This window comes from Homo sapiens, chromosome 4, assembly GCF_000001405.40.
Source record: "Homo sapiens chromosome 4, GRCh38.p14 Primary Assembly".
NCBI classification, from domain to species: domain Eukaryota; kingdom Metazoa; phylum Chordata; class Mammalia; order Primates; family Hominidae; genus Homo; species Homo sapiens.
In genome coordinates, this window is record NC_000004.12 from 76,270,234 (window position 1) to 76,293,938 (window position 23,705).

General features: G+C 40.9%; 2 protein-coding genes across 3 annotated transcripts in view; both read left to right on the top strand.

Annotated features, from left to right (window-relative positions):
- The window catches only part of FAM47E (family with sequence similarity 47 member E), a 69,744-nt gene extending 56,194 nt beyond the window's left edge, over positions 1–13,550 (top strand). For both annotated transcript variants that reach the window (NM_001242936.1, NM_001136570.3), the window contains exons 5-8: positions 1,335–1,535; positions 7,836–7,991; positions 10,031–10,108; positions 13,148–13,550. In NM_001242936.1, the coding sequence (NP_001229865.1) occupies positions 1,335–1,535; positions 7,836–7,991; positions 10,031–10,108; positions 13,148–13,225 (513 nt within the window). In that variant the 3' untranslated portion in view covers positions 13,226–13,550. The remainder of the gene's footprint in view (positions 1–1,334; positions 1,536–7,835; positions 7,992–10,030; positions 10,109–13,147) is intronic.
- The window catches only part of FAM47E-STBD1 (FAM47E-STBD1 readthrough), a 59,410-nt gene that overhangs the window by 18,513 nt on the left and 17,192 nt on the right, over positions 1–23,705 (top strand). The window contains exons 5-6 of the mRNA NM_001242939.2: positions 1,335–1,535; positions 7,836–7,991. Of these exons, the coding sequence (NP_001229868.1) occupies positions 1,335–1,535; positions 7,836–7,991 (357 nt within the window). The remainder of the gene's footprint in view (positions 1–1,334; positions 1,536–7,835; positions 7,992–23,705) is intronic.

The following is a 23,705-nucleotide window of genomic DNA, read 5'->3' on the forward strand; positions in this document are numbered from 1 at the left end:
TTTCCAAGCTTATATCCTACCAGCGAGCAACCTAAGTGTGAAGACAGCAAAGCTTTTCCATTAGGGAAAAGTCCAGGAATTACTCTCACTGGACTAACTTGGGGCACATGCTTTTGCTTGAATTAACCATTATGATTAAGGAGATGGAATATGCTTATTGGCTAGGCCATGACACACACCTAACCCTGAAGCCAAGAGTGGGGGTGTCCAGCCCAGCTGCAACAGAGTGAGAGTGACGGACAGAGACTCCTCAGAGGGTGATTGAAGCGGGGATGCTGGATGAAGCAGACGACGCCCACTATGCCTAGTATCCAAACTACTGCTTGTCCATAATCTGTTCAGATTGGATTGCCTGATTTCCAGCGTCCACTTCTCCCATTCCTGCTGCTGGAGGCGATTCGTCTCTCAAGGCAGGAAACTGAAGGAACCTTAGAATAAGAGTTTAGCTTCTCTGGTAACTGCCTGTAGTTTCAGACCCTGTGACCAAGCTCCCATCTTTACTGTCATCCCACAAGCTGGGTCCCTGTCTCATCACCCTGTGGGATTTTCTTCACAGCACTAGCTTGTGCTTTTCCTTCCATGCTGTTTGTTTATTTTTCACCTCATTGATTCTGCTTGCTTTATTTCTGCTTCATTATTACGTTAGCCTCGTTTTGCCTGTACTTGTCCCTTTATGTCCCTGATTCTGTTTCATGACTCCTCTCTATAAATTTTACTCCAGCCACAATGCCAGCTGCTGGTGACTTCATTCTCTCTGTGTTTCCCAGTTTCTGTTTTCCAGTGTGAGATTCTATTGAGTCTAAGATATAGCCTTGAGCCATATCATAGGTAAATGCTCAGCATACAGATTAGCTGCTCTTAATGTGCCCATCTCTACTCCCACCAGCTGTAGCTGAGGGAAGGAAATGGTGAAGGTTGTTCTGTGTACAGAATGCGGCTGACTAAAACCGCCTCCTTCAGCAGGAGCTGTGAACCTGGCAGCTTCCATTATACAGAGTTATTGGCAGAGAAAACACTGCCATATCTACACAAGTCTGGAAAATACTTCTAGAGATGGCACCACTATAAAGTGCTGGAGAAGTTTGCTATGGATCAAACTGAATTTCCCTCGGGCTCATGATTTCCCTCACTGCTTCTTGCAAAGTCCTAAGCTGTCTCTTAATGACAAAGCCCTCCAAACCCCAAACACTTCTTGTCTTCAATGAATGCTGACTGAGCATTTTCTACCTCTCCCCAAACTACCTCTTTCCTCAGCGATGGCCCTCAGATTAAAGAAGAAAGCAAAGAGCATTTCACCGATTGCCCTCAATTCATGCAATGTGATATTCTTCCAGGGAATTTCGGACATCGATGAAGAGTTCATCTTGAAACAGTTTGACATTGACTATGAGACCAAACCAAGCCATGATGCGCTCCACACGATGAAGCTAAATCAGGTTCCTCTGGAGCTAAAGCGTAGTGTGGGGCTCAGTAAACTGCAGGAGACAGAGTTCTTCCAGAAACTAGGCTATGAGAGGAAACTCCAGAAACCACAGGTAATTGCAGAAGGGGACCAGACCGAAAATCAAAGAAAATTAAGTTGTATTGAAGTCTTAAAGTTCTTGAATTCTGATGTGTCATGGGTACTGGTTTTTTAAAGTAGAATTCTGGAATTTTTTTCATGATTAATATTTGTTAAATAAATGCATGTTTAATACCTATAACAAAGTCAGTTATACAAATGAGGCATGTCATTTGGGATTATTTTTAATACCTGAATAGTCATTTTCAGAGATAATTTGTTAGGTGTTTTATATGTTGGAATACTAAAAGTCAGTAGAAATATACATGAATGGTTATTATTGCAAGAGCAAAATGCTGCAATTAATTATTATGAATGCTGTTAATATTATGTCCAAAGAATTCTTAAATTTTTGCTGGAGTCTTATTGACCACAAACCATCATTCTTGACCACATGCTTGCCTAATGATTAACAAGTTTCCTCAGCACCAAGTTTCTGTAAAGATGGAAGAACAAGGTAACAGAAAGGAGAAATAACATGCCATGTTCCAAAGGGAAGTATTGTGGGCCCCTAAAGTACTATTTACTTTTCTACAGTGTGTCACTGCAAATATATATACACAAGTCAAGTTATGTGAGTCAACAACAGATTTAAGTTCCTAAGTTGGAGGGGAGAGCCCTTCCCTGAAAATGAAAAACAATATTTTATCTCTAATTGTCTTCTGCCTTTTACACATAATCTTTGATATTATACTTCAATATTTGGGACATATTAATTTTGTCCTTTACAGTTGAACACATTTGCCAACCTATTTTGGCACACATTATGTTTCTATCCTTTACTCCATTGCATACGGTTTATGAAAACTATGCATTTCATCATGAATATCAGCACTTTTATTTTTCCATTCTCCTTTCATCTTTCTAAAAGGTAAAATGCAAAATGGTATTAGACAGGCAAATTATGTCCATCACACCTGAGGCCTGAACCACTGCTTGTCCTGATTCTGGGCTGAATAAAATTGCTCAATTCCCTGTATTTAGAAATAGTTATGCAAACACTACTTTATAAACCATGGAAGTTATTGCCAAAATTGAGCTTTTGACTGGCAAATGGAGGGTCACTATACAAAAGTTGAAAATATATTTCCACATAATATATTTTCTCTTCTGACTAGAAGACCTCTTTTGACATTTCTTCCAGGGTGGATCTGCTGGTGATGAATTCTTTCAGCTTTTGTATGTCTGAAGACAACTTGTTCTGCCTCATTTAAAAAGATTCAGTAGTCGCCTGTTATCTGTTACCTGTAGGGGTTATGTTCCAAGATCCTCCAGTGGATGCTGAAACTTTGGATAGTGCTAACTCCTATATATACTGCGTTTTTTGATATGATAACAGGCGGTTACTCAGTGACTAAGGGTGGGTAGTGTGTACAGTGTGGATACTCTGGACAAAGAGATGATCATATCCCTGGAGGAATGGAACAAGGATGGCTTGAGATTTCATCATGCTACTGAGAATGGCTCACGATTTAATACTTATGAGTTGTTTATTTCTAGAATTTTCCATTTAATACTTCAGACCGTGGTTGACCACAGGTAAATGAAAATGCAGAGAGCAAAAACATGGATAAGGGGGAATTTTGTATTTTGTGGGAAAAGAATTCTAGTTCAAAGTTAATTCACAGTTTTAAAAATTTCACTAAAGGTCTTGCCTTCCTGTCTTCTTGGTTGTACTGTTTCTAGGAGAAATCTTATATCATCCTCATCTTCTTTTTGGGGGGATGTGCTTTTTCCTTGGATGCTTTTAATATTTTCTCTTTGTCACTGGTTTTGAGCATTTTGATTATCATAAACCTTGGTGTATCTTTCTTCATGTTTCATGTACTTGTGGCTTGTTGAGCCTTTTGGATTTGTGGGCTTATAGTTTTCATTAATTTTGGAAAATTTTGGACTATATTTCTTCAAACTTTTTTTTTGTTGTTTTTCAATCCCTTCCCAGAACTCTAATTAACTGTAATTAGGCCGCTTGAAGTTGTTTTACAGCTCACCACTGCTCTGGTCAGCTTTTTAAATTCTCTTTTCTTTTTGTGTTTCTATGGCTATGTCGTTAAATTCTCTATTTTTTTTTCTGCAATGTCTAATCTTCTGTTAATCCCATCTAGTATTTTTTTAGAATCTCCTATGTTATAATTTTTATCTCTAAAAGTTTAACTTAGGTCTTTTTAATTTATATCTTCCATGTCTCAACTTCACCTTTTGCGCATAAAAAACATAGTTATAACAATTGCTGTGATGGCATTGTTTACTGATTCTAACATCTGCATCAGTTCTGTGTCAGTTTCCACTAGGTGATTTGTCTCCTCATTATGGGTCATACTTTCCTGAATCTCTGTGTGGCTGGTAATCTTTGATGGATGCTAGGCAGTGCTAACTTTATCTTACTGGGTGTTGACTATTTGTATTCCTATAAATATTCTTGAACTTTGTTCTGGGATGCAACCAAGTTACTTGGAAGTTTGATCCTTTTGAGTTTTGCTTTTAAGATTTGTTGGGGTTGGGTGTGGTGGCTTATGCCTGTAATCCCAGCATTTGGGGAGGCCAAGGCAGAAGTATCACTTGAAGCCAGAAGTTCAAGATCAGTTCGGGCAACATAGTGAGACCCCAGTCTCTACAAAAAAAAATTTAGAAAAGAAATTAGCTGGATGTGGTGGCATGTACCTGTAGTCCCAGCTACTTGGGAGGCTGAGGCAGGAGGATTGCTTAAGCCTAGGAGTTCAAGGCTATAGTGAGCTATGATTGTGCCACTGTACTCCAGTCTGGGTAACAGAGTGAGACTTTGTCTCTATTAAAAAAAATTTGTTGGGAAAGACCAAAGTAATGTGGGGTAATTATTCCCTGCTATTGAGGCAAGACCCTTCTGTGTGTTCTGCCTAGTGTCCTGTGGATCTTTAGGTTTTCCAGGAGGAAGAAGGCAGTGTTCCTGGCCCTGTGTAAGTGCTGGACACTGCCCTCTTTTCCTTTTGGTTCTTTCCCTGACCATGGGTAGTTTCCTCCCACACATGCACAAAGGGTACCCTCTGAAATCTCCTGGAGTTCTCTCTCTGTGCAGCTTTTTCTTTTCTGATACTCTGTGCTGCAAACTTTCTCTGCCTTGATCTGTCTGGACTCTCGGTCCTGTCATCTCAATTCAGAGAGTCCATTGGGCTCCTCCTGGGCTCTCCCTGAAGGCAGTGAGCTAGGGCAGTCGTGAGGCTTATCTTGTTTGTCACTCAAGGATCACTATCCTTGGTTACCCAATGTCTTGTGTCTTGCACAGTATTAATTCATGTATTTTTTCTTGTTTTTTGATTGTTGAAGGTGGCAGGGTAAATCTGGTCCCCATTCTGAAGTCCCTGTCTTTGTTTTCTGGGCATCCCTGTCTTTATTTTCTGACTCCACATACCCTCAGGCCTGCTAAACTGTGGTCTTTGGTGTATGAGCTTTCCTGCCACCTTAGCCTTGCTCATAGTATTCTCGCTGCCTGGAGTGCCCCTCCTCTCCATGTCCATAGGTTCTATCTTCCTTTAGACACAGGAAGTATGCTGATTTTTCCATGGAGCTCTTCTAGGTCGCTTGGTTGACATTAATTTGTTCTTACTTCTAATCTCTCACAGCAATCTGTGCCTCTATTTTATATATCTTTCTTTGCCGTCTATATTAATTCATCAATTTGTGTATGCATTTATTCAAAAACAGTAGTAGGTTTTTGAGCACCGACCACTATGTGTCCAAAAGTGCTGGGAACAAGTGAAGCAAAAATGGAGGACTGTTTCCTGCACTTATGGAGATTACAGCCTAGTGGGGTCAACAGGTAAATGATTAACTATAGCGAAATGATGTCATGGTTTGTGCAGGACATAGGAAGAGGTAATCAATTCCATCAAGCACGGGGTGAGGGCATGTTTACAAAGGCATCACAGAAGGAATTATGTTTATCTTGAGTCTGGAAAGATCACCAGTTACCCAACAACATAACATATTCCAGAATTCAAGTTCTTCAGTGTGGCAGTAATGTAGATTCCATTCCTCTCCTTCTCCCCTTTCTACCCCAATCTCTTTCCTTCCCTTTTTCATTTCAGTGGTTCACATCTGAGGGCAATTTGCCCCCCTTCCTCCACCTCAGGGATATTTGGCAATATCTAAAGATGACATTTTTGGTTGTCACCACTTGGGGGATGCTATTAGAATCTAGTGGGTAGAAGCCAGGAATGCTGCTAAACATTCTATGATGCATGGGACAGACAGACAGACAGACAGACAGACACACACACACACACACACACACACACACACCCCTCCCCTACATACAAATAGTTCTCCAGTACCAAATGTCAATAGTGCCAAAGTTAAGAGACCTGACTTTCATTCAACAAATACTTATTAAGCACCCATTATGTCCTAAGTATTTTTCTAGATGCTAGGGAGATGTAGCTGGGAATAATTTCCGAAGCTTATATTTTAGAGAACAAGAAGAGAGACAGACAAACGATCAGAAAATATATAGCATAGAAATGGTGATGAGGGTCATTAAGAAAAGTGAAGCAGAGAAAGAAGGCAAAGACTGTTGGGAGGGGGTTACTTTTTTTTGTTTGTTTGTTTTTTTGTTTATTTGGGGAGACAGCGTCTCACTCTGTCGCCCAGGCTGGAGTGCAGTGGCGTGATCCCAGCTCACTGCAACCTCCACCTCCCGGGTTCAAGCGATTCTCCTGCCTCAGCCTCCCGAGTAGCTGGGACTACAGGCATGCGCCACCATGCCCAGCTAATTTTGTATATTTAGTAGAGACAGGGTTTCACCAGGCTGATCTCGAATTCCCAACCTCAGGTGATCCGCCCACCTTGGCCTTCCAAAGTGCTGTGCCCGGCCCAGGGTTACCATTTTTTAAATTGGATGGCCAGGGAAGATGCCACTGAAAAGATGACATGAAATAGGTAAAAGAGCAAGCCATGTGTGTGTCTTGGGGAAAAACATTACAGTAGAGGGAACAGTGTGTGTAGAGGCACTGAGGCAGAAGCATGACAAGGGTGCTCTGGAAATAGCAAGGCGGTCTGTATGCTCGGAACAGAGAGATCACAATGCTGAATCCAGCTCTGGAAGAGATTTCCCTCCCGTCTCCTCTGTCCCATCCTCTCTTTCTTGGAGCGTATCTGGCTCGACTCTAGAATGCCCCACACATTCTGCCACATAGTTTAAATGTGCATGAGAGGAGACAGAGACAGAATCTTTGTGGTTTCATGTTTCTGACACCCAAGAGTTAGACTCCCTTTTGTGGTGAGACAGTGTGGGTATTGCATTCACAGTATCAGTCTATGAACCAACAACAGGTTCTCCTAACGTCCTTGATGTGCTACTGAGGAATCGGGGAAAGAAGGGAATGAGATATGTTCATCGTCCTCTTTCTCTCTTCCAGTTATAAAGGCAAGAGCTTGGCTGGGCGCAGTGGCTCAGGCCTGTAATCTTAGCACTTTGGGAGGCCGAGGCGGGCGGATCACGAGGTCAGGAGATCAAGACCATCCTGGCTAACATGGTGAAACCCCGTCTCTACTAAAAAATACAAAAAAATTAGCCGGGCATGGTGGTGGGCGCCTGTAGTCCCAGCTACTTGGGAGGCTGAGGCAGGAGAATGGTGTGAACCTGCGAGGCGGAGCTTGCAGTGAGCCGAGATCGTGCCACTCACTGCACCCCAGCCTGGGCGACAGAGCGAGACTCCGTCTCAAAAAAAAAGAAAGAAAAAGAAAAAAAAAAGGCAAAAGCTTGGTGTTAGCAGTTTGATAAAAAAAAAAATATTGTAGCATGTGCAAGGCTGAGCACCGTGCTGGGCTCACACTATTTAATAACTTACTATTTTGGTTGACTGAGTATTGTTCAAGGTCTTTACCCTAGGGGGAAATATGTGATTTTTACGTGATTCCTAGCTGCTTTACATACATTCTCTCCTTTAATCTTCACAACAGCCCTGTGGGGATGTATACTATTGTTATCTCCATTTTACAGATGAAGAATTTATGTAACTTGATCATGGACTCCACCTACTAAGTTGGGGAAAGCTGGATTTGAACCCTGGTCTGTCAAAATCCAAAGGCCATGTTATTAACCACTGCATTATTTTTAAATCATGAACTTTAATGTTTACTTTGTAAAATCAAAGCATGCTGAAACTTCACAAAATACTTTGGCAAGGACCAACCTAAATTCCAAAGTAATGATCCTGCTCTCCTAAGCTAAGCTTTAGATTTTTGAAATGACAAACAAACAAAAAATCAATGGCACTGGGAATTATGTTACTTTCCACAGAATCCTTATAAGCCAAAGTGGGTGAAGATGAGGTATGGAGCATGGTATTTGAACCCCAAGTTGTGGAAAAAGCAAAGAGTAGACGAGCCTCTGGTTGACCCTGAGGTCTCACATAAGGCTCAAGAGGAGAATTTTAAAAAGGAGCTGCAGGAACAGGTATGTATTTATACTGAGATTTGATCATCTGAGCTTCAGATGATCACAGTGCATCTGCCACCCTCCTACTGAACCAGACTCTGCGGCGTAATACAAAGGCTCCTGAAAGCCCTCCACCTTGCATATTGAATTCAGCAAGGAGAAAGCTAAGTAATGTTAAGGAGAATGTGTAATAAGCAAGACTTGGAATCTCCTGGCTTTGTGGTAGACATGACATCTCTAAAGATTGGACAGCTACTCATGCTATTCCACCATTCTTGGAACAATTTATTCCAAGGATAATTGTTCAAAGGGTGGTGTGACTTGGTACGACCACCTCAGTGCCCAGAATAGATGTGCTGTCATGAGTTATCTTTGGGTAACAAAATGTGAAGCTTGTTTCCTATCAGCTATGGGTGAATGTCAAAAAATTCAAAATTTCAACCAGGAAATTTCTTTTAGGCAATTCATTTGAGTTGCAGGATCTGTCTGAGAGGAAAGGGACAAAGGTTAAGCACTGTTTGATATTGCAAAGCAACAAACACTCACAACAAGGGTGTGCTCTAATTTTACTACAGATAAACCCTGCCTGCTCATTGCTTGTGTAAAAGTAGCTAGTGGAAAGAAGATACTCATTATGGCCCTGGAAATTTGGAAATAGTGATGCAACACTTGCATAGTACTCTAATGAGGATATTTGCAAACCTCTTCTCTTTTTCAACAGACCCCAAACTTCTCCTAGATAACAGACGTGAAAACACTTTGAGAAAGTAAAATACAATACAAATTAGACTTATTATTCTTCAGTAATCACTCATCAATTGTCTTCTTCAGATTGGAAAGCTAAGACAGGAAGGATGGTCATTTTAATCTTTTCCAGTACTGAATATAAATTCTTATTTTCAGGTGTGAGGTATGATACAAATTTATGAGCACCCCATGTTTATATAAGTCTCAAAATTATGTAAATAATGTTTGGCAGAATTTCTTAGTATGGTTTTTGGAAAGCCTAGGTTTATGTGAATTTAATATATAACATAAAGCTATTCCAGTTGCACTTTTATTATAAAAGGTAACATCATTTTTTCTCAAATTAAATATTTAAAAAGAAAAATAGCTACAAACTTTTGCTTTAAGGTATCTAGAGTTCTCTTTTTAAAAGCATATTCTTAATTACTAATTCTTAAAGACTTCAAAAGTTTTACAAAACATATTTCATTTTGATGACAAATGCTATAAAGATGTTTGCCAAAATGGTTACAGTGAGCTAATAAAGTAGCATTATTTAAATATAATTGATATAACTCGTATAGTAAAAGATTGTTTATCAGGCAGTTTAGACACAGGGAGGATGCATAACAATGGAATTGTTCTACAATAATTTTTATAAATCACACCTTTTTAATACCTGAGGAATGATTTACATTATCGACTATAGGTGGCACCACCAGGCTGTGGCACCCCAGTTTACAAGACGCAGGCACTGTGGGGTACTGGTAAGAGACAGTAACTATGACAACATGACTGTCTTTCTGGGAACTCGTGAGTTTTGACTATTCTTGATAGATTTGGTTTGGAAGGTGAAATGGTTTTAAAGTACTGAATTGAAATTATGTAAACTTATGCATCCAATTTTTAAATTAAAATAAATGTAAAGAAAAACTAAAAAGATGCATAAATATTGTAGATGTTGGGACTGATCAAATCATATTTGATTGTCCTGTCCTTTGAAGTTAAGATCTATGATTTGTGGACATACTGTTAATCTTAACTAGGTTAGATTCCAGACATCATAGGTCAATAATTGTCTAATTGCTAAAATGTGTTGCCCATCCTTAATATGGGGATAAGGAAAAGGCTAGGGGAAGGAGAGAAAGCTGGACATCTTTAAAAGCCTTCATATTCATCAACTCATGAACATTACACACATATTCAAAAACAAGAAGGATATGGGTTAAAATGAGATACTTTATAAGGAACTAAATGCTTTTAATGAGAACAAATATGAAATCAAGCTTCTGATGGCTGACCCCTTTCTTCAAATGTGGGTACTCTTTTAGGAGGAGTTACTTGCAGACCTTCACGGAACAGTTGCCTTTAAGGATTTCATTCTAAGCAGGGGCTACAGGACGCCACGTGTGAGTAAAGGGTCCTTTCAGAAGGCCCTGCTGAGGGGCTTCATGGCTCACAGTTGTTGACGGGAAGAGGTTATGACCCTGACAAACCCAAATAGTTCTCTTACAGGCACATACCAAGACAGGCCCCTGGAAGAAAGGGCATGCTTCTCCCCAGACGGGGACTCAGAGATAGGATATGGCATTTTGCCCTTTTTATTCTGCCTATTTGGTTTCTGCTACTATCAGAGATACTATTTCCCTGTGATCTTTGACTCATCTTCCTTGGATTTGGCCTCAATAGGAGGTCTATGTACAGGGCATGGGCCTTGCAAATTCCAACTGTTACTCAACACCCTGAATTCTCTAGGATGTTTTCAAGTCTCCTTTGCGTCCTGGTCTAAGGACAAAGAGCTGTGGCTTGGGTTAGGACAAAATAGCGTTGGGATTTGCAATTTCATCATTGCACTATTAGCTCTGCCTCAAGTAGAAACAGGCTAAGGCAAAAGTTCACTTCCTGGGGGGCCTGGCCAGTGTCTTCTGTCTTTTTTCCCTTTCTTCATTTCTGCCTCCTGGTTTCCCCTCACTAACTTGTAAAGCTGGCCCCAGCATCTCCACACAATGTGGTCCCCCTTTGGACAATCACTTGTAACAGGGTTGGGGTGGGAGGTTGGCAGAAGGGAACATGGAGCGGGAGGGCCTGCTGCCTCGAGCAGTGTGCCCAGATCAGCCCTGTCACTGCAGCAGGAGACTAGATAGGCATCTGGGGCTGAAGTCATAGCTGATAATGTCAAGCATTTGTCCACTGTCCTCTGTGTGCACGTACCTTGGGGTCTTTAGGGGACAGTGCAACTGAGATGGTCAGAAGTTTCTGGAAATGGGAGATTTGATTTCTGTTTTTCCAAGAGTGATAGAACTAACAATAGCTGATACAGCTAGCAAATAAATGTAGGACAAAGTTCAGAATCAGACTGGTTTCAAAGTTAAATCAGGCAAGTCTAGAGCATGAGATGGAGATTTGAGACTGGGAAACTCCATTATAGAACTGGTTTGGAGGAACTCCTTTAGCTTTGAACATCAATACTAGGTCTGCTAGATATATTTAATATACAAATAACTGCCTAATCTGTATATAAGGTTTGCATAACTATATTTATATATAATATATAAAATATAAAATATGCATCTATAGCTTTAATATTACATAATTATGTGTTTACGAGTCCATATTAGATATGTAAAAATGTACTTCTGTGGTATATGTGTGTGTATATATAAATCCTTATTTGCCATTGATATTATTGTGGCTCATTTTTGTATCTTAACATTTTTAGTGGCAAAACACCCTTCTTTTTTTCATTTTGATGTGTTCCCTATTGATTTAATCCATACTGTTCATGAACATTTAGTTCAGTTTTGGGCAAAAGGAAGCATGCCTGACACACTGGCTATTGCAGGATCTGGCCAGCAGCCCGCAATGCAACGGGGCTCTCTGTTCCCAGGCGGATTGGCAGGTTGAGAAATAATAGACACACACAAGATAGTGAAAGCTGGGTCCAGGGGTGTCACCGCCTTCTGGTCCCACGGTGCCAACAATGCACTGGATATACCAGCATTTATTATTAAGTTTAGTGAGGGCGGGGGTAGGTTAGTGAGAGATTTAGGGTCATTTGATTGTGAGATGAGATGGTCACATGGGGATGAAGTAATTCTTTAACATAACATTTGTATGTAGAAGTACAGTACATTTGTATGTAGAAGTACAGTGTACAGAGATAAGAATTTACAATATAGTGTGTGCGTCAATAATTTCTAACAGAATCTTAAAATAGAAACACAATCTTTCCATAACCTATGATTAGCAAGATATTAATCAACAGTAACAGTTGCCACAAAAGCTGGTTACAAACAATCCATGGAAACAGGAGGTGAAGCTAGACAACCAGTTAGACCAGAAATTCTCAGAAGGGAGTATGCCTTAACCCTAAAGAGGCCTAGAAGAGCTGTGGCAAGATGAGGGCATTTATAGCCCTATCTTATCCATATGGACAGGCGCCCCCCATGTGTCCGTTTATAGGCTTTCCACAAGGGTCGCATTCCATTCCCAGAGCTATGAACATCTGCTTTTCTGGGATAGGAATGTTGGTGATGTGCAACCTCCCTGACTGCACGTCCGTTCATAGGCTGTCTGCAGGGGGAAGCACATCATGCGCTGTTGGCTCGTTCTGGCAGCCCAACCTGGCATTGTCTTTACACAATCCTGCATGCAATTTTGTATTTACAATAATCAGGAGCATTTCATCTTTTATTCCGTAGCAATAGTTTCAGGGGGTCTCCCTACATCTGGCTGTCCTCTTTTCAGTCACATTGACTAGAGAAATGATGCCCCTGGTCACAACAGAGTCCTCTGAGAACACCTGTCACTCAAAACCCTACAATATTTTGTCCCTTTATTCTTACATCCTATATTCTTATTTTATCAATAAGATTTCAACTGAAGGAGAGAAGGGGCTCTATCACAGGGAATAAGATATATATGCATATACACACACACAGTATATAAATATATGTGTGTGTATGTGTGTGTGTGTATACACAGTTATTATTTACTTAAATCTATATGTGAACATTCATTCTTTTTTTTAACCTCCTGTGTACATTCACATATGTTATGTGAACATATGCACTTACCTACACATTCCAGTATCTGCTGCTGGATTAACTACTTGATGCATCACCCACAGCCTCATTCCCTCTGCTGCACGGATGGATCCCAAGCCTTAGTAGCAGGGATGGGCAGCACAAGGCTATGTTGAGCTGGGCTGGGCCAGACTTGGGCACAGAACAAGTGTGAATTCCATCTGAGTGTTTCTGATACTGTGTGACTACCTTCCAAAGACCAACATCTATCATGGTCAGATTATTAACATGTGATTTTGCATAGTGTAAGGATATATATTAGAGTGTGAAATTTTGAGTTAGATATGGTAGTGGTTGTGGGGAGGACTGTACTGTGCAAGTTTTGTTTGCCAATCTAATGAAGGTTCTCTCATTTTTTTTTAGTTCCTTGAGAATATGTATATCGGGAAGGAATGTAAACGTGCATGTAATAAGACTCCTATAAAACGAACTCAAGCATAGAAGAATCGTAGGAGAATGATTAGGCAGATTTTATTACTACGTACTTGGCTATTTCTCTGTCTCCTTTTAAAGATTAAACAGAGTTTATGATGAGTGTCCCACTGTGGATGTTCAACTTTGACTTGGCAACATCTGTAAATGTAATACCTGATGGTTATAAGCATTTCTCAATGGATTTCTGCTTCAGTTAATCAACATTTTGTATACTTTATCACCCATGAGATCAATATTCACATGTAATCTTCTCATATTTTTGTGGCACGTGAATATTATATAGGTATATCAACTATTGGTAAAAATAAATAAAGGCATAAATAAAAACAGACTTACTCTATTGCCTTTTTCCCAGGTTTTTCCCCTGGTATTGAATGAGTACCTCCTTTCCTCTTCCTTTACAATATTATTTTCTTTCATTTTGAATTAAATTTACTGAGATATTTTTTCCTTTTGTCCGCATTGCCATGGGTGGATATGGTCTGTTTGGCCCCGCTAAATCTTATGTTGCAGCTTGATCCCCAGTGTTGGACATGGGGGCTGGTTTGAGATGTTTGAGTCATGGGGGTGGATCCCTCGTGAATGGCTTGGTGCCATTCTCACAGGAGTGAGTGAATTCTCACTCTTAGTTCCTGTGAGAACTGGTTATTGTAAAGAGCCTGGCTCCTCCTCCTCTCTCTTGCTTGTTCTCTCACCATGTGATGTCTGCACATGCTAGCTCCCCTTTGCCTTTTGCCACGAGTGGAAGAATCCTGAAGCCCTCACCAGAAGCAGATGCTGGCACCATGCTTCTTGTACACCCTGTAGAGCTATGAGCCAAATAAATTTCTTTTCTTAAAAATTACCCAGCCTCAGGTATTCCTTTGTAGCAACACAAATGGACTAAGACAGGCATGTTAGTGTTGATAATAAATGTGTATCTATAACATAAGGTCATAGGTCAGAAGGTTTAATGGAAACTCAAGATGACATGTATTTTAATTACCTTTTAAAAATTATATTTTATTTTAAAATGTTAATACTCTCTGGGTGTGACCACTCACTCCTATAATCCCAGTGCTTTGGGAGGTCAAGTCAGGAGGATGGCTTGAATCCAGTAGTTCAAGGCTGCAGTGAGCTATAATCATGCCAGTGCCCTTTTGCCTAGGTGACAGAGTGAGATCCTGTCTCTAAAAAAAAGTTAATGCTCATATTAGGAAAATCAGAAAACATAGACTAGCAAAAAGAACATAGAAAATACTAATTCTTCCTATAGAGTTAGCAGTAACTGCTCTTTGCTCATTGGAATGTATCCTAGATTTTTTTCTATGAAACATATAGGGAATAATTTAATCAAAAAAGGATTTATTGAAAGGAAATTATTTATTAAAAACATATTCTGTCCACAGAGTATCTTTTTTTTTAACTTTTACTTTAAGTTCCGGGATACATGTGCAGAATGTTCAGGTTTGTTACATTAGGTATACATGTGTCATGGTGGTTTGCTGCACCTATCAACCTGTCATCTAGGTTTTAAGCCCTGCATGCATTAGGTATTTGTCCTAATGCCCTCCCTCCCCTTGCCCTCCACCCTCTGGCTGGCCCCTGTGTATGATGTTCCCCTCCCTGTGTCCATGTGTTCTCATTATTCAACTCCCACTCATGAGTGAGAACATGTGGTGGTTGGTTTTCTGTTCCTGTGTTAGTTTGCTGAGGACGATGGTTTCCAGCTTCATCCATGTCCCTGCAAAGGATGTGAACTCATTCTTTTTTATGCTGCATAGTATATGTGCCACATTTTCTTTAATCCAGTCTATCATTGATGGGCATTTGGGTTGGTTCCAAGTCTTTGCTATTGTAAATAGTGTTTCAACAAACATACATGTGCTAGAATGATTTATAATCCTTTGGGTGTATACCCAGTAATAGGATTGCTGGGTCAAATGGTACTTCTGGTTCTAGATCCTTGAGGAATCACCACACTGTCTTCCACAATGGTTGAACTAATTTACACTCCCATCAACAGTGTAAAAGCATTCCTATTTCTCCACATCCTCTCCAGCATCTGTTGTTTCCAGACTTTTTAATGATCGCCATTTTAACTGGCATGAGATGGTATCTCATTGTGGTTTTGATTTGCATTTCTCTAATGACCAGTGATGATGAGCTTTTTTTCATATGTTTGTTGGCCACATAAATGTTTTCTTTTGAGAAGTGTCTGATCATATCCTATACCCACTTTTTGATGGGGTTGTTTGTGTTTTATTTTGTAAATTTGTTTAAGTTCCTTGTAGATTCTGGATATTAGGCTTTTGTCAGATGGATAGATTGCAAAAATTTTCTCCCATTCTGTAGGTTACCTGTTCATGCTGATGATAGTTTCCTTTGCTGAGCAGAAGCTCTTTAGTTTAATTAGATCACATTTGTCAATTTTGGCTTTTGTTGCAATTGCTTTTGGTGTTTTAGTCATGAAGTCTTAGTCCATGCCTATGTCCTGAATGGTATTGCCTAGGTTTTCTTCTAGAGTTTTTATGGTTTTAGGTTTTATGTTTAAGTCTTTAATCCATCGTGAGTTAATTTTTATATAAGGTGTAAAGAAGAGGTCCAGTTTCTGTTTTCTGCATATGGCTAGCCCATTTTCCTAGCACCGTTTATTAAATAGGGAATCCTTTCCCCATTGCTTGTTTCTGTCAGGTTTGTCAAAGATCAGATGGTTGTAGATGTGTGATGTTATTTCTGAGGCCTCTGTCCTGTTCCATTGGTCTATCTGTCTTTTTGGTACCAGTACCATGCTGTTTTGTTTACTGTAGCCTTGAAGTATAGTTTGAAGTCAGGTAGCATGATCCCTCCAGCTTTGTTCTTTTTGCTTAAGATTATCTTGGCTATATGGGCTCTTTTTTGGTTCCATATGAAATTTAAAGTAGCTTTTTCTAGTTCTATGAAGAAAGTCAATGATAGCTTGATGGGAATAGCATTGAATCTATAAATTGCTTTGGACAGTTATGGCCATTTTCACAATATTGATTCTTCCTCTCCATGAGCATGGAATGTTTTTCCATTTGTTTGTGTCCTCTCTTATTTCCTTGAGCAGTGGTTTGTAGTTCTCCTTGAAGAGGTCCTTCACGTCCCTTGTAAGCTGTATTCCTAGGTGTTTTATTCTCTTTGTAGCAACTGTGAATGGGAGTTCACTCATGATTTGGCTCTCTGCTTGTCTATTATTTGTGTATAGGAATGCTTGTGATTTTTGCACATTGATTTTGTATCCTGAGACTTTGATGAAGTTGCTTATCAGCTTAAGGAGATTTTGGGGCTGAGGCGATGGGGTTTTCTAAATACACAATCATGTTGTCTGCAAACAGAGACAATTTGACTTCCTCTCTTCCTAATTTAATATTTCTTTCTTTCTTTTGCCTGATTGCCCTGGCCAGAACTTCCAATACTATGTTGAATAGGAGTGGTGAGAGAGGATACCCTTGTCTTGTGCCAGTTTTCAAAGGGAATGCCTCCAGCTCTTGCCGATTCGGTATGATATTGGCTATGTGTTTGTCCTAAATAGCTCTTATTATTTTGTTCCATCAGTACCTAGTTTATTGAGAGTTTTTATCAGGAAGGGGTGTTGAATTTTATTGAGGGCCTTTTCTGCATCTATTAAGATAATCATATGGTTTTTGTCATTTGTTCTGTTTATGTGGTGGATTATGTTTATTGATTCGTGCATATTGAACCAGCCTTGGATCTCAGGGATGAAGCCGACTTGACTGCAGTGGATAAGCTTTTTGATGTGCTGCTGGATTCGGATTGCCAGTATTTTACTAAGGATTTTTGCACTGATGGGCCTTTTTTGGTTGGTAGGCTGTTAATTACTGCCTCAATTTCAGAACTTGTTATTGGTCTATTTAGGGATTCAACTTCTTCCTGGTTTAGTCTTGGGAGGGTGTATGTGTCCAGGTATTTATTCATTTCTTCTAGATTTTCTAGTTTGAGTAGAGTTGTTTATAGTATTATTTGATGGTAGATTGTATTTCTGTGGGATTAGTGGTGATATCCCCTTCATCATTTTTTATTGTGTCTATTTAATTCTTCTCTCTTTTCTTCTTTATTAGTCTGGCTAACAGTCTATCTATTTTGCTAATCTTTTAAAAAAACCAGCTTCTGGATTGTTTGATTTTTTGAAGGGTTTTTCTTGTCTCTATCTCCTTCAGTTCTGCTCTGATCTTAGCTATTTCTTGTCTTCTGCTAGCTTTTGAATTTGTTTGGTCTTGCTTTTCTGGTTCTTTAAATTGTGATGTTAGTGTGTCGATTTTAGACCTTTCCTGCTTTCTGATGTGGGCATTTAGTGCTACAAATTTCCCCTGAACACTGCTTTAGCTGTGTCCTGGAGATTCTGGAACGTTGTATCTTTGTTCTCACTGGTTTCAAAGAACTTCGTTATTTCTGCCTTAATTTTGTCATTTACCAGTAGTCATTCAGGAGCAGGTTGTTCAGTTTCCATGTAGACATGCAGTTTTGAGTGAGTTTCTTAATCCTGAGTTCTAATTTGATTGCACTGTGGTCTGAGTGGATGTTTGTTATGATTCTTCTCCTTTTGCATTTGCTGAGGAGTGTTTTACTTCCAATTATGTGGTCTATTTTAGAGTAAGTGCTATGTGGTGCTGAGATGAATGTACATTCTGTTGATTTGGGGTGGAGAGTTCTGTAGATAGGTCTGTTTAGTCCAGAGTTGAGTTCAAGTCCTGAATATCCTTGTTAATTTTCTATCTCGTTGATCTAATATTGACAGTGAGGTGTTAAAGTCTCCCACTATTATTGTGTGGGAGTGTAAGTCTCTTTGTAGGTCTCTAAGAACTGTTTTTATGAATCTGGGTGTTCCTGTATTGGGTGCATATGTATTTAGGATAATTAGCTCTTCTTGTTGCATTGATCCCTTTACCATTATGTAATGCCCTTCTTTGTCTTTTTTGATCTTTGTTGGTTTAAAGTCTGTTTTATCAGAAACTAGGATTGCAACCCCTGCTTTTTTTTTTTTTTTTTTTTTGCTTTCTATTTGCTTGGTTAATATTCCCCCATCCCTTTATTTTCAGCTTATATGTATCTTTGCATGTGAGATGGGTCTCCTGAATATAGCACACTGATTGGTCTTGACTGTATCCAATTTGCCAGTCGTGCCTTTTATTTGGGGCATTTAGCCCATTTACATTTAAGGTTAATATTGTTATGTGTGAATTTGATCCTGTCATCATGATGTTAGCTGGTTATTTTGCACATTAGTTGATGCAGTTTCTTCATAGTATCACTGATCTTTATATTTTGGTGTGTTTTTGCAGTGGCTGGTAGCAGTTTTTCCTTTCCATGTTTAGTGCTTCCTTCTGGAGCTCTTGTAAGGCAGGCCTGGTGGTGACAAAATCCCTCAGCATTTGCTTGTCTGTAAAGGATTTTATTTCTCCTTCACTTAATGAAACTTAGTTTGGCTGGATATGAAATTCTAGGTTGAAAATTCTTTTGTTTAAGAATGTTGAATATTGGCCCCCACTCTCTTCTGGCTTGTAGGGTTTCTGCAGACAGATCCACTGTTAGTCTGATGGGCTTCCCTTTGTAGGTAACCCGACCTTTGTCTCTGGCTGCCCTTAACATTTTTTCCTTTGTTTCAACCTTGGTGAATCTGACGATTATATGTCTTGGGGTTGCTCTTCTCGAGAGTATCTTAGTGGTGTTCTCTGTATTTCCTGAATTTGAATGTTGGCCTGTCTTGCTAGGTTGGGGAAGTTCTCCTGGATAATATTCTGAAGTGTATTTTCCAACTTGTTTCCTTTCTCCCCATCACTTTCAGGGACCCCAGTCAATCATAGGTTTGGTCTTTTCACATCGTCCCATATTTTGTGGAAGCTTTGCTCATTCCTTTGCATTCTTTTTTCTCTAATCTTGTCTTCATGCTTTATTTCATTAAGCTGGTCTTCAATCTCTGATATCCTTTCTTCTGCTTGATCGATTCGGCTATTGATACTTGTGTATGCTTCACGAAGTTCTCATGCTGTGTTTCTCAGCTCCATCAGGTCATTTATGTTCTTCTCTAAACTTGTTATTCTAGTTAGCAGTTCCTGTAACCTTATGTCAAGGTTCTTAACTTCCTTGCATTGGGATAGAACATGCTCCTTTAGCTCAGGGGCGTTTGTCATTAGCTACTTTCTGAAGCCTACTTCTGTCAATTCGTCAACCTCATTCTCTGTCCAGTTTTGTGCACTTGCTGGAGAGGAGTTGCGATCATTTGGAGAAGAAGAGGCATTCTGGTTTTTGGAATTTTCAGCCTTTTTGCACTGTTTTTTCCTTATCTTCATGGATTTATCTATGTTTGACCGTTGAGGCTGATGACCTTTGAATGAGGTTTCTTGTGTGGGTGTCCTTTTTGTTGATGTTGGTGTTACTGCTTTCTGTTTGTTAGTTTTTCTTCTAACAGTCAGGTCCCTCTGCTGCAGGTCTGCTGGAGTTTGCTGGAGGTCCACTCCAGACCCTATTTGCCTGGGTATCACCAGTGGAGACTGCAGAACAGCAAAGATTGCTGCCTGCTCCTTCTTCTGGAAGCTTCATCCTGGAGGGGCCCCAGCCTGATGCCAGCCAGAGCTCTCCTGTATGAGGTGCCTGTTAACCCTCGTTGGGAATTTTCTCCCAGTCATGAGGCACAGGGATCAGGGACCCACTTGAGGAGGCAGTCTGTCCCTTAGCAGAGCTTGAGTGCCGTGCTGGGAGAATCCTCCTTGTCAGGATCCACTGCTGTCTTCATAGCAGGCAGGCAGGCAGGAACATTTAAGTCCGCTGAAGCTCGCCCACAGCTGCCCCTTCCCCCAGGTGCTCTGTCCCAGGGAGATGGGAGTTTTATTTATAAGCCCCTGACTGGGGCTGCTGTCTTTCTTTCAGAGATGCCCTGCCCAGTGAAGAGGAATCTAGTGAGGGAGTCTGGCCACAGTCACTTTGCTTTGCTTTGTTTGGTTCTACCCAGTCCTTAGCATGGTCAGGGGAAAAGCCACCTACTCAAGCCTCAGTAATGGTGGACGCCCCTACCCCCACCAAGCTTGAGTGTCCCAGGTTGACTTCAGACTGCTGTGCTGGCAGCGAGAATTTTAAGCCAGTGGTTCTTAGCTTGCTGGGCTCCATAGGAGTGGGACCTGCTGAGCGAGACCACTTGGCTCCCTGGCTTCAGTCCTCTTTCCAGGAGAGTGAACAGTTCTGCCTCACTGGGGTACGAAAAAAAAAGTCCTGCAGCTAGCTTGGTGTCTGCCCAAACAGCTGGCCAGTTTTGTGCTTGAAACCCAGGGTCCAGGTGTTGTAGGCACACAAGGGAATCCCCTGGTCTGCAGATTACAAAAACTGTGGGAGAAGCGTAGTATCTGGGCCAGATAGCACAGTCCCTCATGGCTTCCCTTGGCTTGGGGAGGGAGGTCTCCAACCCCTTGCACTTCCCGGGTGAGGCAAGGCCTCACCCTACTTCTGCTCACCCTCCATGGGCCACACCCACTGCCTAACTAGTCCCAATGACACGAACAGGGTACCTCAGTTGGAAATGCAGAAATCACCCGCCTTCTGCGTTGTTCTTGCTGGTAGCTGCAGATAGGAGCTGTTCCTATTCATCTTCCGAGATCCTCTGCTTTTCATCTTGATCCACAGAATATCTTTATGGACAGAGGCTCGGATTTGAGTCTGCCCTCCCAGGAACAATACCCGAATTCATGCCTCAAAACTGAGCTGGTGAACACATCTCTATTGATGCCCTTGGCGTAGACATGGCAACCAGCACAGAAGTCACCATCATCGGATGCTGGAGTTACCCCCAGGGCCACCTCCACTGCTGTCTTTGAACATAGATGCAACACCAGTGCCAGCACCTTACCCAGCAGCAGCATCCATGCCCAGTGTGGGTTCTGCCTACTCATCTCAGGGTCTCTGATGAGGCACTTGACTGGCGGAGCCAGATCCATGCCTATGAGTGAAGTAGGCAAAGAAAAGTAGTATATGGCATTTCTAGCTCCTACAGTGTAAGGGGACTCTGCCCCCATAGGTCAGGGGGTTCAGGTGCCTCTTAGAATATGGAGTTCAGATGACTAGCCTCTTGAATGCCCAATATCAATATCTACTTTTTTCATAAAGAAAAAAGCATAAGAAACAAACAAACAAAAAAACCTTTTTTCTAATTAATACAACCATCCCTCCTGCAGAAGAGGACACAATCATGTTCTCAAAAGTGATGAGTTCAAAGTTGTATCCATTACTGCATTTGCCTTCAAATACAAAATCCCTGGGGGCTGGCATTTCATCCTCTGGGTCTGTGATGACCTCATCTCAGTAATCTGTATGCTGAACTGACTACATAGTAAATTTGATCACCAATAACACACCCTTTGTGGAGAAAGAGACAAGAGGAAGAAACTTAAAAAAATGGCATATACATGACATGGAAGAAAATGCAGATAGATGCAACAGTGTTCATTTCTACAACTGGTCAAGAGGCCATAGTTCCTATATATAATTTCCCTTCTCCACTTCCCATTTCACATTCTTTTCACCTTTGGCTAGTCCCTTAACTGTTACAAAATATTTAAGAGAGTGACCTAAACCTTTATTCACAAAGCGCCTGAGTCTTGCTGGTCCTGACCAGCCAGGACATTTTTATTAGTAGACATGACAACACTAGGTAGAACTCCAAGGGGTCCTTTGATTTCCATGACTCTACTGTCAATCAGTTTTCACTTGCTGTTGATGATTCATATAGTTCTCTCCTTTTCTTGTTCTTCAGGGATCATGAAGAGTCCATACAATGACCAGGTGGCAGTCTCAGATTCTAATTCAATGGAACTATTATTTTTTTTCTACTGATAGACACCTTGTCTCAAGCTTTTAAATCACCAGAGCCCAGTTCATGGGGCTAAGAAGTAACAGTTTTGCAAGTGGTTCTGAAGGAGGTGCTCCTCCTGATGCTACACCCATGTATGCTGAATATGGGAAAAACAGCATATATTGGTTGCTGGTGCAGAATAAATAATGAATGTTGGTGTGGGCAGAAATTTGTTAGGCAGGGTCAGCAAATCCCAATCCAGAATAAGTTACTATTCCAGTAAAGATAAATTACTGCCCCTTTCATGATAATGGAAGAGGTCTGGGACATTCTTTGAACCCACTCATTCAACGACCATTATGACCTCCTTCTAGCTTGCCTTCCTACTGTAGAGGCTGGAAAACTAATGGCTGCATTTCCCAAACTCTCTTAATGTTTCAACTCATTAAAGTGCCCACATGTTTGGAAGTCCAAGGGAGCACCAAGGGGAGAGCTGATCCTCTGCAAGCCAGTCTGGCTTTCAGGTGCTGAGCAGCAGAGGCTACGGGAAGTGGTAGTCTGGAGGGAATCCACTTCTTTCCCCAGGCACATTGTTCCTGGCTTTGTTCCATTCAAACCTAATTCACATCAGGGACTTTAGTTTTATTTCCTGGACAAATAAATATTTAACAGAAGCAGTGGCCAGATCAGGTTTGATGAGGGAAATCCAAGTTGCTAAACCCCCGTGTAGCCTGTGATTCTGCTACTATGCCTACTTCGCTCATTGGGCAACACTGGAGTGCCTGCAGAAAGGAGAGAGTTGGCATGCAGGAGCCAGGTCAACCTCTTCTCTTGACTATTGAGCACTTCCTCTCCAGTGGGGGCCTTTGGGTGGCATTCACAAAGAACCAAATATCCTCATACTCTGGATTCATTCTCAGAGATCCCATAGATACCTCTTCCTCTGAACATCTTTGTCACCAGACTTGCATTCTTGATCCTTCCATGTCTTGGCTGCTGAGCTACACCGTCAGCTAATGACCATTAACTGGTGATATCTGTGCCTCATACCATTTCTCCTTTCAGACAAAGTGGTCAGCAAGATAAAATGCTTAAAATTCTGCCTTCTGGAAGATTCCTCTTTGTTGATCTTCAGGGTCACCCTCAAGTTGGCCTATAATGTTGCTGTAGTCTACTTGTGGCTGGTGCTGTCATATTGTGCTGGTTGCTGTCTAGTCAGTTGGACTTAGAGAACATACCATGAAGTCAGAGGTGTAGGCTGAGGAAAAAATGGTAATGTGGTAGGAGTGGGAACACCATGCAATTTGTTGTGTCTTCAATTTCTGCTCAAGCCCAATCTTATGTAGGAAACTTTCACTTGATCATAAGAAGCAATACAATTTGGTAATTTAATATGTGTACTTTGAAGCCAGGGGGCCTGTGTTCTAACCAAGTCCTGCCACTTATTAGATATATGACTATGGTCAAATTGCTTTTATCCTCTCTCTGCTTCAATTTTCTCATCTAAAATAGGGATGATTACAATAACAGTACTATTTCCCAGAAATGTGGTGAGGATTAAAGGAAATGTTGCAAGTAAAGTACTTAGAGCAGAGCTTGGCACACTGTGCACACACACTAAATGTTAGCTGACTTTATGGCGTGGTGAATCAGATAGTCCCCAGCTTATGATGAGTGCTAGCCATG